This window comes from Homo sapiens, chromosome 1 (assembly GCF_000001405.40).
Source record: "Homo sapiens chromosome 1, GRCh38.p14 Primary Assembly".
Classification (NCBI taxonomy): domain Eukaryota; kingdom Metazoa; phylum Chordata; class Mammalia; order Primates; family Hominidae; genus Homo; species Homo sapiens.
This window is the reverse complement of record NC_000001.11, coordinates 74733653-74748102: the sequence shown is the minus strand read 5'-3', so window position 1 is coordinate 74748102 and position 14450 is coordinate 74733653. Positions and strand designations below refer to the sequence as shown.

Here is a 14450-nt window from a genome sequence, read left to right as displayed (position 1 = left end):
GTGGGTAGAGGCCAGGGATGCAGCTTAAACATTCTCCATTATACAGGACAGCCCCCACACAAATAATTATTTGACCTGAAATGCCAGCTGTGCCATGGTTGAAAAACCTTGCTCTAAGTACATGCTCTCCTTTTGAGATTCCCTGGTTTAAATACCATATATACACACATATATGTATATATGTATATACGTGTGTATATATGTGTGTATATGTGTATATGTGTGTGTATGTGTATGTATACATACATATGTGTATACACATATATACGCACCCATATATATACATATGTGTGTACACATATATATGTACACATGTGTATACATATACACACATATACACATACATATATACATATATGTGTGTGTATATATGTGTATACATATATATACACACACACATATGTATACATACTCACATCCAGTCTTTCTTTTCTTTTCTTTTTTTCTTTTTCTTTTTTTTTTTTTTGAGACGGAGTCTCGCTCTGTCGCCCAGGCTGGAGTGCAGTGGCGGGATCTCGGCTCACAGCAAGCTCCGCCTCCCGGGTTCACGCCATTCTCCTGCCTCAGCCTCCCAAGTAGCTGGGACTACAGGCGCCCGCCACTACGCCCAGCTAATTTTTTGTATTTTTAGTAGAGACGGGGTTTCACTGTTTTAGCCGGGATGGTCTCGATCTCCTGACCTCGTGATCCGCCCGCCTCGGCCTCCCAAAGTGCTGGGATTACAGGCGTGAGCCACCGCGCCTGGCCCGGTCTTTCTAATTACAGTAAAATGACACCATCATCTATCTAGCTGCTCAAGCTCCAAACCTAGATAGCCCCGATGCTTTCTACTTCTTCATCCCCTATACCCAATTCCCATTGATTCTACCTCTACGATTACCTCAAATTAATCCAGCTCTTGCCACATCCACTGCCCACTCTTTTTCAAGTCTCCATCACCTCTCTCCTTAACTTCTGGAGGAGTCTCCCAATTAGTCTCTTCTTTCACTCTTGCCCCTTCAAACCATTCTTACAGACTAGCTAGTGACAGAATCCAAGCTCTAAACCATGACTAATGATGTTCTATTTGCTCCAGCCCTTGCTATTTTCTCTAACCTTGAGTGGCTTCCCTTCTGTTCTTTGAATACTCCAAACCCTTTCCTGCATCAACTTCTTTATTTTTGCTGTTCCTCTGTCAGGACTACTCTTTTCCTGGCTGGTTTCTTGTCATTCATCCTGTTTCCATTCAATGCTACTACCTAAAAAGGTCCTCTTCTTTTTTGAGATGGAGTTCCACTCTTGTCACCCAGGCTGGAGTGCAATGGTGCAATCTCGGCTCACTGCAACCTTCGAATAAAGGCCTTCTTTAACCACCTCTTTAAATGCAGCTCTCCCCTGACTCTCTAGTGGAGTGCCCTTCTTATCTCCTTCACAGCACATCTCACAGTGAGAAATTCTGTTTTATTACATACTTATTGTCTGCCTCTGTCCCCTAGAATACAAATATAAGCTCCTTAGGTAAGGACCCCCCTCAAAAAGGGGCTGTGAATGAGTGAATTTCTCAGTTCCTCTAAGTCCACTTCAATTAGCTCCCTGAAATGTTAGCTTTCCAATGAGGCTTAGGCCCAAAGAAGAGCATGGCTGGGCTCAGTCAGGATTAGCACAGAGAACAGAACATGGATATAGAAACAGGAGAGTTAAAGTCTGGAGACACATCAGTGATGTGATGTGGTATAATGAGACTAAAATAAGGTTAGATAAAAGTTCAGGGTTAGAGCAGAGACTGAAGCCATGAGCCACTAAATGATTAAACACCATGTTTTGGAGACTGTCTCTAAATGCTCGTGTTCCTCAAGCCCTCTTCTCTTTTTCTTCTGTACTTTCTCCACAGGTGATTTCAACTAGGCTCATGGCTTAAAATAATAATTGTGTATTGGCATCTTCTCAATGTCTGTCCTCAGTCCACATGGCTCCCCTGAGTTCCAGACTTCTACCCAAATGTCTATTTGAAATTTTCACTTAGGTGGTGTTTTTACGGACTGAATTGTGTCTACAGGGCTTCAAAATTCATATGTTGATGCCCTAACCTCCAATGTGACTATATTTGGAGATGAGGCCTTTAAGGTGTTAATTAGGTTAAATGAAATCATAAGGATGGAGCCCTGATCCAACAGGACTGGTGTCCTTACAAGAAGTAGAAGAAACAAGTGACATGCATACACAGAGAAAGGGCCATGAGAGGACACAGGGAGAAGGCAGCTGCCTGCAAGCCAAGGACAAGGGCCTCAGAAGGAACTACCCCTGCCAGTACCTTCATCCTGGACTTTCAGCCTCCTAACTGTGAGAAAAATAAATTTCTGTTGTTTATACTACCCAGTCTGTGTTATATTGTTATGTCAACGCTAGCAGACAAAAACAGGTGTCTTAACAGACATTTCACACTTAACATATGAATCACATTCTTGATTTCCATTCCTTCTGAGAGGTGAGGCCAGCTGGACTTCCTGGGTCGAGTGGGGATTTGGAGAACTTTTCTGCCTAGCTAGAGGATTGTAAATGCACCAATCAGCACTCTGTAATAACGCACCAATCAGCGCTCTGTGTCTAGCTAAAGGATTGTAAACGCACCAATCAGCACTCTGTAAAAACGCACCAATCAGTGCTCTGTGTCTAGCTAAAGGATTGTAGATGCACCAATCAGCACTCTGTAAAATGGGCCAATCAGCACTCTGTAAAATGGACCAATCAGCTCTCTGTAAAATGGACCAATCAGCAGGATGTGGGTGGGGCCAAATAAGGGAATAAAAGCTGGCCACTCGAGCCAGCAGTGGCAACCTGCTCAGGTCCCCTTCCAAGCTGTGGAAGCTTTGTTCTTTTGCTCTTCACAATAAATCTTGCTGCTGCTCACTCTTTGGGCCCACACTACCCTTATGAGCTGTAACACTCACTGCGGAGGTCTGAGGCTTCATTCCTTTAGTCAGTGAGACCACTCGCCCACCGGGAGGAACAAACAACTCCAGATGGGCCACCTTTAAGAGCTGTAACACACTGCGAAGGCCTGTGGCTTCACTCCTAAAGTCAGTGAGACCACGAACCCACCAGGAGGAACAAACAACTCTGGACGCGCCACCTTTAAGAGCTGTAACACTCACTGTGAATGTCTGCAGTTTCACTCCTGAAGTCAGCGAGACCATGAACCCACCGGGATGAACAAACAACTCTGGACACACCACCTTTAAGAGCTGTAACACTCACTGCGAAGGTCTGTGGCTTCACTCCGGAAGTCAGCAAGACCATGAACCCACAAGAAGGAAGAAACTCCAGACACATCTGAACATCTGCAGGAACAAACTCCGGACACACCATCTTTAAGAACTGTAACACTCACCATGAGTGTCTGCAACTTCATTCTTGAAGTCAGTGAGACCAAGAACCCATCGGAAGGAACCAATTCTAGACACATTTTGGCAACCCAGATGGGACACATTTGGCGACCCAGATGGGACACATTTTGGCGACCCAGATGGGACAATCGCCTATTGCCAAGTGGTGAGTACCATTGGACCGCTTTCGCTTGCTATTCTGTCCTATTTTTCCTTAGAATTTGGGGGCTAAATACCAGACACCTGTCAGCCAAACACTCACGCATCAACAGGTTCACCCTTGAAATGCATCCTAAGCCATTGGGACCAATTTGACCCGCAAACCGTGAAAAAGAGGCGGCTCATTTTTTTTTTTCTGCATCACAGCTTGGCCCCAATATTCTCTCTCTGATGGGGAAAAATGGCCACCTGAGGGCAGTATAAATTACAATACTATCCTGCAGCTTGATCTTTTCTGTAACAGGGAAGGTAAATGGAGTGAAATATCTTATGTCCAAGCTTTCTTTTCATTGAAGGAGAATACACAACTATGCAAACTTGCAATTTACATCCTACAAGAGGACCTCTCAGCTTACCCCCACATCCTAGCATCCCTATAGCTCCCCTTCCTATTAATGATAAGCCTCCTCTAATCTCCCCCTCCCAGAAGGAAACAAGCAAAGAAATCTCCAAAGGACCACAAAAACGCCTGGGCTATCAGTTATGTCCCCTTCAAGCTGTAGCGGGAGGGGAATTTGGCCCAACTTGGGTACATGTCTCCTTCTCCCTCTCTGATTTAAAGCAGATCAAGGTACATCTGGGGAAGTTTTCAGATGATCCTGATAGGTATACAGATGTCCTACAGGCTCCAGGGCAAACCTGTGATCTCTCTTGGAGAGATGTCATGCTACTGTTAGATCAAACCCTGGCCTTTAATGAAAAGAATGTGGCTTTAGCTGCAGCCCGAGAGTTTGGAGATACCTGATATCTCAGTCAAGTAAATGATAGAATGACAGCCGAAGAAAGGGACAAATTCCCCACCAGTCAGCAAGCCATCCCCAGTATGGCTCCCCACTGGGACCTCGACTCAGATCATGGGGACTGGAGTCATAAACATCTGTTGACATGTGTTCTAGAAGGACTAAGGAGAATTAGGAAAAAGCCCATGAATTACTCAACGATGTCCACCATAACTCAGGGAAAGGAAGAAAATCATTTTGCCTTCCTCGAGCGGCTATGGGAGGCCTTAAGAAAATATACTCCCCTGTCACCCGACTCACTCGAGGGTCAACTGATCCTTAAAGATGAGTTTATTATCTAATCAGCTGCAGGTATCAGAAGAAAGCTCCAAAAGCAAGCCCTGGGCCCTGAAAAAATCTGGAGGCATTATTAAACCTGGCAACGTTGGTGTTCTATAATAGAGACCAAGAGGAACAGGCCCAAAAGGAAAAGCGAGATCCGAGAAAGGCTGCAGACTTAGTCATGGCCATCAGACAAACAAACCTTGATGGTTCAGAGAGGACATAAAATGGAGCAGGCCAATCACCCGGTGGGGCTTGTTACCAGTGTGGTTTGCAAGGACACCTTAAAAAAGATTGTCCAACGAGAAACAAGCTGCCCGCTTGTCCATGTCTGCTATGCCAGGGCAATCACTGGAAGGTGCACTGCCCCAGAGAACAAACGTTCTCTGAGCCAGAAGCCCCCAACCAGCTGACCCAACAACAGGACTCAGGGTGCCGGGGGCAAGTGCCAGCTCATGTCATCACCCTCACTGAGCCCTGGGCATGTTTAACCATTGAGGGCCAGGAAATTGACTTCCTCCTGGACACTGGTGTGGCTTTCTCAGTGTTAATCTCCTGTCTCAGGGAGTTGTCCTCAAGGTCCGTTACCATCCAAGGAATCCTGGGACAGCCTGTAACCAGGTATTTCTCCTACCTCCTCAGTTGTGATTGGGAGACTTTGTTACAGATAGTAAGTATGCTTATCTAATCCTACATGCCCATGCTGCAATATGGAAAGAAAGGGAGTTCCTAACCTCTGGGGGAACTCCCGTTAAATACCACAAGGAAATTATGGAGTTACTACACACAGTGTAAAAACCCAAGGAGGTGGCAGTCTTACATTGCCAAAGCCATCGGAAAGGTGAAGGAGAAAAGGCAGAAGGAAACCGTTGGGCAGATGCTGAGGCTAAAATTGCTGCCAGGCAGAACATCCCATTAGAAATACCTACGGAAGGACCCTTGGTATGGAACAACCCCCTCCAAGAGGTTAAGCTCCAGTATTCCCCAACCGAAACAGAGTGGGGACTTTCACGGGGGCATAGTTTTCTCCCCTCGGCGTGGTTAACGACAGAAGAAGGAAAGGTACTTATACCCAAAGCCAGCCAGTGGAAAATACTTAAAACCCTCCACGAAACTGTTCACATGGGTATTGAAAACACGCATCAAATGGCCAAATCCCTATTTACAGGGCCAAATCTCCTCCAGGCCATCCGACAGGTAGTCAAAGCCTGTGAGGGGTGTGCCAAAGGAATAATCCCTTAGTTCATCCTAAGGCCTCTTTTGGGGAACAAAGAGTAGGTCACTATCCCAGAGAGGACTGGCAATTAGACTTCACCCATATGCCTAAGTCAAAGGGATTTCAATACTTGTCGGTCTGTGTTGATACCTTTACAAATTGGATAGAAGCTTTCCCCTGCAAGACAGAGAAGGCTCAGGCAGTGATTAAAGTCCTAATTTATGAAATAATTCCTAGATTTGGGCTTCCCCAAAGCTTACAGAGCAACAATGATCTGGCTTTTAAAGCCATGATAACTCAGGGACATTTCCAGGGAGCTAGGGATACAATATCACCTTCACTGTGCCTGGAGGCCACAATCCTGAGGGAAGGTCGAGAAGGCAAATGAAACACTCAAGAGGCACTTAAGAAAACTAACACAAGAAACTCATCTCCCATGGCCTACTCTTTTGCCCATGGCCTTGTTGAGAATCCAAAATTGTCCTCACAAAATGGGGCTCAGTCCCTATGAAATGCTGTATGGAAGAACTTTTCTCACAAATGAACTCCTACTTGATCAGGAAATGGCCAACTTGGTCAAAAATATAACTTCTTTGGCAAAATATCAACGAAACCTTAAAAACCTACCTGAAGGATGTCACAGAGAAAAGGGAACAGAGTTGTTTCAACCAGGAGATCCAGTGTTAGTCAAATCTCTCCCCTCTACCTCCCCATCTATAGATTCTTTGTGGGAAGGACCATACTCGGTAATCCTCTCTACCCCCACTGCAGTTAAGATGGCAGGAGTGGAATCTTGGATTCACCACACCCCAGTTAAATTTTGGACACCCCCGGAGGAACCTGCGGGACCATCAGCTCAGGAGTCCCAAGATCAGCCAGACCAGCCTCGATACACCTGCGAACCATTGGAGGACTTGCATCTCCTATTTTGGAAGGAAACATCCCAGACTAAAAAGGCTCTTACCTCTGATCCTGAGGAAAAACCCATTCCTCCTTAAAAAATATAAGTGAAAACCTACATAATCTTTAACACCTCTCTTTACCCCTTTAATGGAATCCTTTTACTATTTCATCATATTTTCTAGCAGCATACTAACCATACTCTTTGTGATAGGACTATATACTGTAGCCAAACGAGCTCAACTAACAACTTCTACCGAGGACCCCTGGACGGACCCACTGGCCCTTTCACTGGTCTAAAGAGTTCCCCTCTGGAGGACACTACAACTGCAGGGCCCCTTCTTCACCCCTATCCAGCAGGAAGTAGCTAGAGCCGTCATCGCCAAATTCCCAGCAGCAGTTGAGGTGTCCTGTTTAGAGGGTGGATTGAGAGATGAAGCCAGCTGGACTTTCTGGGTCAAGTGGGGACTTGGAGAACTTTTCTGTCTAGCTAGAGGACTGCAAATGCACCAATCAGCACTCTGTAAAAACGCACCAATTAGCGCTCTGTGTGTAGCTAAAGGACTGTAAATGCACCAATCAGCACTCTGTAAAAATGCACCAATCAGCGCTCTGTGTCTAGCTAAAGGATTGTAAACGCACCAATCAGCACTCTGTAAAAATGCACCAATCAGCGCTCTGTGTCTAGCTAAAGGATTGTAAACGCACCAATCAGCACTCTGTAAAAACGCACCAATCAGCGCTCTATGTCTAGCTAAAGGATTGTAAATGCACCAATCTGCACTCTGTAAAATGGACCAATCAGCTGTCTGTAAAAGCGACCAATCAGCAGGATGTGGGTGGGGCCAAATAAGGGAATAAAAACTGTCCACCCGAGCCAGCAGCAGCAACCCACTTGAGTCCCCTTCCAAGCTGCAGAAGCTTTATTCTTTCACTCTTAATAAATCTTGCTGCTGCTCAGTCTTTGGGTCTGCATTACCATTATGAGCTGTTAACACTCACTGTGGAAGTCTGCGGCTTCATTTCTGAAATCAGCAAGACCACGAACCCACTGGGAGGAACAAACAACTCTGGACATGCCACCTTTAAGAGCTGTAACACTCACTGCGAAGGTCTGCAGCTTCACTCCTGAAGTCAGCAAGACCACGAACCCACTGGAAGGAAGAAACTCCGGACACATCTGAACATCTGAAGGAACAAACTCCGGACATACCATCTTTAAGAACTGTCACACTCACTGCGAGGGTCCACGGCTTCATTCTTGAAGTCAGCGAGACCAATAACCCACTGGAAGGAACCAATTCTGGACACACTTCAACTTCAGCACACCCCATCTGGATAAAGGCGACTACCATACAGCTAGGGGCTCCAGCCAGACCTAAGTAGTTATCCTTGATTCCTCTTTCTCCTCCTCCCTCTGGCTGTCCTTCCCCAGACAACCTTACAATTCTGTTGATTCAAATGCTGAAATACATATTGAATCTATTCCTTTCTCACCTGCTTTGGTGCTATCACCTTACACCAACCTATCACCACAAACTACTCCTAACTCGTATCTTTTCACTTACTGCACTCCTTTCTCTATGCTGAAGCAGAACTGAGTTTTTCAGAACAAAAACCTAGAAAGCCACTCTTTGCTTAAAACTGTCCCTTCAATAACTTTTCCCTGAACTCAGAAAGAAATTCAAACTCTTTAATCTGGTCTACAAAGCCTTAAATGACCTGGCCCCAGCCTCCTTCTGGCACCTTCTTTCCACTCTCTAGACCCACTGAAACTTTGTATATACTTTTCCATCTTCATGGAATGTTCATTTCCCAGCTACATGCCTAGCTCTTTCTGTTCCTTTAAGTCTTAGCTTAAAGAAAGCTTTTCAGAGAAGCCTATCTTCAAGTGAGCTGCTTTTTGCACTGTTCTCTATTACCAGGTTGTTTTTTCCTTCGGTAGAACATTTTGCAACTTGCAGTTTGTTTTTTGTTTTTTTGCCAGTTCACTTGTTTGTTTTTGCTGTCTCCTAACTTTGGAAGAGGAACCAAGACAGTCTTTAATCTTGTTCATCACTGTGCCCCTAGTACTTGACACACTGAGACTCAATACATTATTGTTGCTTAAAATGCAATTCAGTTTTATATATAAATATATAAAAGGTATAAAAAGGAGAATCAAGACTAAACAGATGTTTACCTCATGCATGCTCATTTAAATGGGAAAAATGAAATATTCTTTAAAACTCTTAATTTTACATGTAGTTCCACAGTATTTTTTCTTAAAGCTTGGCAAACAAAAACAAACTATAGAATGCTGAAGTAAAATTTATAAATAAAAACGTTAAGAAAGAAAACAGGAAGCATAACCTGGGACTTATATTTTCCTAGCAATGATTAGCTACTCTTTTTTTCTAATATTAAAAATTAATAGATTGAGCAGACCAATAAATAATATATACATAACTAGTTGAATAAGGTAATATCTCATTGATATTTATAGCAGGTTAAAAGCTTAAAATTACATCTACCCACATATCTATAAATTCAAGTACAATTACAACAAAATTTTACCAGAATCTGTGCATCCTGCAATTGTCGACACTGCACATGAAGAACAAATGGTTCAAATTTCAAAGTGGCATCACCATTTGCTTTCTTCAGAGCTACAATCTAAATAAATGAACAGTGGTATCAGATGCAAGTATATGGCCTGTCCTTTGGCGACCCTTTACCCCATACATAACTTCAATTTCTCTTAGAAATTTTCAGAATCACTCAGCATATTTTTTCTGCAGTAACTTTTCCCTCTGCTTTCTTGGTCCTTTTTCACCAAAAATTTATTTGCTTATTTTCTTAAAATTTCTAGTTCTCCCGTAAATCTTCTATACCATTCTTTCCACCTATTAGTGTGCTTTGAAGAAGTAAACTACTACTTTATTTAATTCCATAACGGATTTTTCATTAGGAAATGTAGTATACAAAAACTGTATTAGGATTGTTTAAATTTTTTGTTAGATTGAGATAGAGACAAATGTAATGTGAGAGAAGGGTCCAAACAAAGCCTAACTGCCACCCATGTTCCCAAGAAGCATCCTGTACCAAGCACCAGTGCTTACCAGCAGCACTAGTAAGCTCACAAATAGCAGTGCATGCAAAGAGCTCAGAGCACAGCCAGTGAGTTCCTGTTCCCTCTGTAACAGGCACAGTTGTTGTAACAATTGCAACTTGCAGTTTTTTTGTTTGTTTTTTTTTCCCTGTTCACTTGTTTGTTTTTGCTATCTCCTAACTTTGGGAGAGGAACCTTGGAACTGCTCAGCTACATGAGAACCAATGGCCCCTGAGCACGTTCCTAGCTTTCTGTATTTCAGACCCTATGGGGCAGTGTTCAGGGTCTGGGAGCTACTGCAGCACAAAGTGGGGTACATGCCATCACTCTGCCCTGATCAGCTGTGGAACCAATCTGCTAGCCATGGGGACTGACACATTGCAAAGGGCTAGATCTTGTGTAGTCTCTTCCCTCCTGCTATAAGCAAATGTTACAACACTTGAGCCTAGTATGCGTGTTTTTTGTTAGTGACCTTGAGTCAGGTACTAGTCTCTTCCCTAGGTAGCACTTGCCTGCCTTTTAACCTTGGCTGCACCCATGTTACAGTGTATCCTGCGGCGTAGTCTGACCACCTAGTGAAACATGTAATATTGTGTCTGAGCTAGAATTTATACAAGACAGTTATTATTTCTGTCTGCCCAGCATCCCCGGGCAACATCGTCCTGCCTTCACACCATTTGATTTCTGGTGGGGCTGTCAATCATTACCCTGTCACACATCACTCTCCCTATCACAATATCAGAGGTGCCAAGTGCTTGCTTATGTCTGATCAAGGATATCATCACATTCCACTAGCAAAAATAATTAACCTAAGAGGGAGAGCACCTAATCTAAGCAGGACAATTCCAAGTCCTTCTCTAAGATGGACACATGAATTGCAGGAAAAGGAGTTCTTTTTCTACTGGTGTTGCTGACAGCTACCATTTCTGCAACAAAGATTATCTGCAGCAGAAGAGAATAAAGGCACACTGCAAAGAGAACCAGTGCCTAAAGATGAAGATGAAGTGGGTACTCTGAAGACAAGATTTGAACATCTGAACCAGCAATACTTGATTCTAGCTCCATTCGCCCTTTCCAGTTAAATAAATTATCTTTTTTGCTAAAAACAGAATTGGATTTGTAAATTCACTGGGAATGAAAAGTGCCTGGCTGATAAAAACTTATGAATTCATCTAAACTCTTTACCTTAGGAAACTAAATAACCCAGCAGAGATATGAAGATTTTCAAAAAGCAATGCAGGTAAGTAATGTATTATTTATTTATATCAGTAAAGCTGGTAACACAGAGATAGTGCTAATCCCCTTCTCTTTCCATAATTTGTTCTAGGTTACAGGGTTTTCAAATAGCAGAATTAAAATTCAAAATTTGGATCCAATAGGTGTCCAATATCCATGAACTTTCTGCTGTGTCCAAGAGGATGTGTTTTGTTGAGTAGCAGTAAGTAATGCTTCCATACTTTTTATCTCCTACAACCCAAAAAGAGCCATTGTAATGAAAGCTCTCTAGGTTTTATAATCTTCAGCCATTATAACTCTGCATATAAATTACCTTGAATTTTCTATTCTTGTCATATGTATTTAAAGTAACTGAATTTAAAAGTTTATTTCCAAATTTATTTTTTAAAACTTACCACATCATCTTTTACACAAAGTTTGTGTGTAACCAGTAGCCAGCAACAGTTTTGTTTCTGAACCTCAAAACCATTTATACCCTAAAATAAAAAATAACATAATTTAAGTTTCATATAATATTTTACAAAAATAATAAGCATAATGCATAGTATATTGTAGGCTTTCTTAAATTAATAATCCCAAGTCAGGATTTTAAGTATTAATAAAAACAATTCGGTATGTTTTTGGGTAATGTTAACCCAGAATAAGAATGAGCCCAAATAACTTGAGGTAGAAAATTATGTGAAAGGTAAAACTACTTGATAAACATCTTCTGAAATATGGTCATGATTTTGCAAGAAAAAAAGGGATTAGTATAAGGGATAATACTAGCAGCACCTGAGTTGTACTCTAGCTATTTGGCTAGCACAGTATTTAAAAATGAAAAAAAAATAATTTTAATTTCTTTTGTAGGACAGCACTGTCCCAATTCCACACAAGACCTACTACCCTTTATTGTCACCTATGCCGTTTACACATTTATAATACTTCCTTGGTCTCTAGAGGCATAAATTTGTGACCTCTGAATTAGACTTTAGATGTAGTCCTGAAGGATGGAGCTAAGACTGAAAGGTCAAAGTTTCATGAAGGCAAACATTTTAATATTAACTTAAATTGAACAAATGTTTATTTGCAAAGTTCTATTAGGTACTTTGGGTATACACAGAACCTACCCCTCAAGGACACTGGAAAGGGGATGCAGGAAACCACATGAACAGAAATCACTATACTCAAAGTAACTATAATTTATACGATGGATCCACAAGAGACTCTGCTGTCTGCCCTTGGAACCGGGAATTGCTATGCATGTCCTAAATAAATATTTTGACTTCATTGTATGACTTCGGTGATGGTGACTTACGTATCTGACATTGTGCTGGCTACTCTGAATCTTAGAGCCAAATGTATGGCCCACTTCTAGCAACTTTACAGGATCTAGTGGTGGGATTGGCAACTAATGCCATCGCTGGCTTCATCTTATCTATATTTTCTTTATCCAGATTTTCCCACTTTTTATTTTTTCTTGTGTTGCCTGTTTGTAAGTTGCCCCAAATCCTTACTGAAATAAGGCAGATTTTAAAATAAACCATAATACGAGGTGTAAGATAAGAAATAAAAGTCTAACCAGTACAGAAGCAGTCATTACTTCCAAGTAGGTAGTATGTGTTTGTGGGTTCAGGTGGGAGAGGGGAGTTTTGGGAATCATGTCTCAGATATGCAGAGATAGGAAAACATTTCAGGAAAAAAACCGCCAAAAAACATGAGCAAAAGCAAGTAAATACAAGATGAAAAGAACAGTTTAGTTTCAGTAACTAGCTAAAGATGAAGAAAAGCAATGAAAAAAAGGTTGAAAGGTATACTAGAGTAAGCATTTGGATTTTCTGATGTAGAAAAATGTGTAATAAAACATAGCATAGGTGAGAGATAAGCAGAGTTGCAATTTGTCAAACATGGTTTGGAGAAGAATAGTTAAGTGGCTTGTTAGAGAACCATTGCAAAAATCAAGGCGAGACAGAGTTATGGAAATGGGGCAAGAGAGAGTTTGTGGGCAAGAATGCCATTGCTCTGAAGGTGATGGAAGTGATTTAAAAATGAACAGGCCCTGCTAACTTGAGAGATCAGCAAATAAATGATCAGTCAATAATGGACCTAAAGAATGAGCCTAACAATGTGCTGTCTTCCATGCTCTTAAGCCAATACTACGAATAAAATCAGTACACAGCCAACTTTTACAGTGCATGGGCCAGGCACAAAGCCAAATATTTCAAAAAAAATTATCCTATTTTCTCCACACAAAATCCCTATAAAGCAGATACTTTTTATTATCCTCAGTTCATAGAACAGGAAGGGGCAGAGTTGAGATAGCTTTCCTAAGGTCACATAGCCCGTGGTTTTTAATCTAAGCAGTATCACTCCCAAGCAGCCTTATCCTCAGGGGATATGTCCCAAGACCCCCTAGTGGATGCCTGAAACCTCAGATCAATTTCTTTTTCCTTCTTCACTTCACAATTTCACTGACAAGATTCATTCTTTCCGTAGATCTTAGCAACCTCAGCATATGCTGTTTTTTCTTTCCTTAAGTCTTTCCTTAAGAACTTTCACCTTTTCACTTCAAAAAAGCACTTTAAAACTTACTGTTGGCAGATCCAAATCGCCAGCATCATTACTCCCGTACTTTGGGGCCATTATTAAGTAAAATAAGAGTTACTTGAACACAAGCACTGTGATACCACCACAGTCGATCTGATAACCCAGAAGGCTACCAAGCAGCTAAAGGGCAGCAAGAATATATAGTGGAATATTCTGGACAAAGGGATGATTCACCTTCCATTCTGGAAGGAGCTGGTTGGCTCAAGATTTTATCACGCTACTCAGAACAGCATGCAATTTAAAACTTACTAATTGTTTATTTCTGGAATTTTCATTTAATATTTTCAGACTGCTGTTGACTGGGGTAACTGAACCTGCAAATAAGGAGGTATGGCTTGTACAGCTGCTTCTTGATTTATGATGGGGTTACATCCCAATAAATCCGTCATAAGTGGAAAATGTAAGTCAAAATGCATTTACTACCCCTGTAAACCCATCATAAAGTTAAAAAAAAAAGTCTAACCATCCTAAATTATATACGATCGTACTTTTCTCTGCGTAAAACTACTAGAGTTGTAATAATGGAGGGGCTCACTAGGAGGCAGTAAACTCCTTAACACTGGTGATGTTCAAGCATGCAGTAACAATGATTTGCCAGAGCTGTTGATGAGCGGATTCCGGCATTCAATACCTTAGCAAGCTACAAAGTCTTTAGATTCCCTTAGTATTCATATAATAAAATCAAATTTTCTAAACTTTGCCACACAAGATAGTTCCCAGGTCAGCAGTTTCAACATCATTTGGGCACTTGTTAGAAATGCACAGTATCAGGCCCTACC

General features: G+C 41.9%; 1 protein-coding gene across 4 annotated transcripts in view, besides 1 other annotated feature; it reads right to left on the bottom strand.

Annotated features, from left to right (window-relative positions):
* The window catches only part of TYW3 (tRNA-yW synthesizing protein 3 homolog), a 33526-nt gene that overhangs the window by 18575 nt on the left and 501 nt on the right, over positions 1-14450 (bottom strand). For 3 of the 4 annotated variants that reach the window (NR_027962.2, NM_138467.3, XM_006710347.3), the window contains exons 2-3: positions 11481-11561; positions 9315-9413 (exon numbers count right to left, since the gene is read on the bottom strand). Coding sequence is in view for 3 of the 4 variants with exons in the window: in NM_138467.3 (NP_612476.1) it covers positions 9315-9413; positions 11481-11561 (180 nt within the window). In the remaining variant the exon portion in view is untranslated. The remainder of the gene's footprint in view (positions 1-9314; positions 9414-11480; positions 11562-14450) is intronic. The other variant, NM_001162916.2, reaches the window with a different exon arrangement.
* Positions 14337-14436: an enhancer, noted in NCBI's record as "active region_1201". NCBI's record gives its function as "activates an Ori minimal core promoter by ATAC-STARR-seq in GM12878 lymphoblastoid cells {active_cell/tissue: GM12878}" and the evidence as "EXISTENCE:reporter gene assay evidence [ECO:0000049][PMID:35858748]".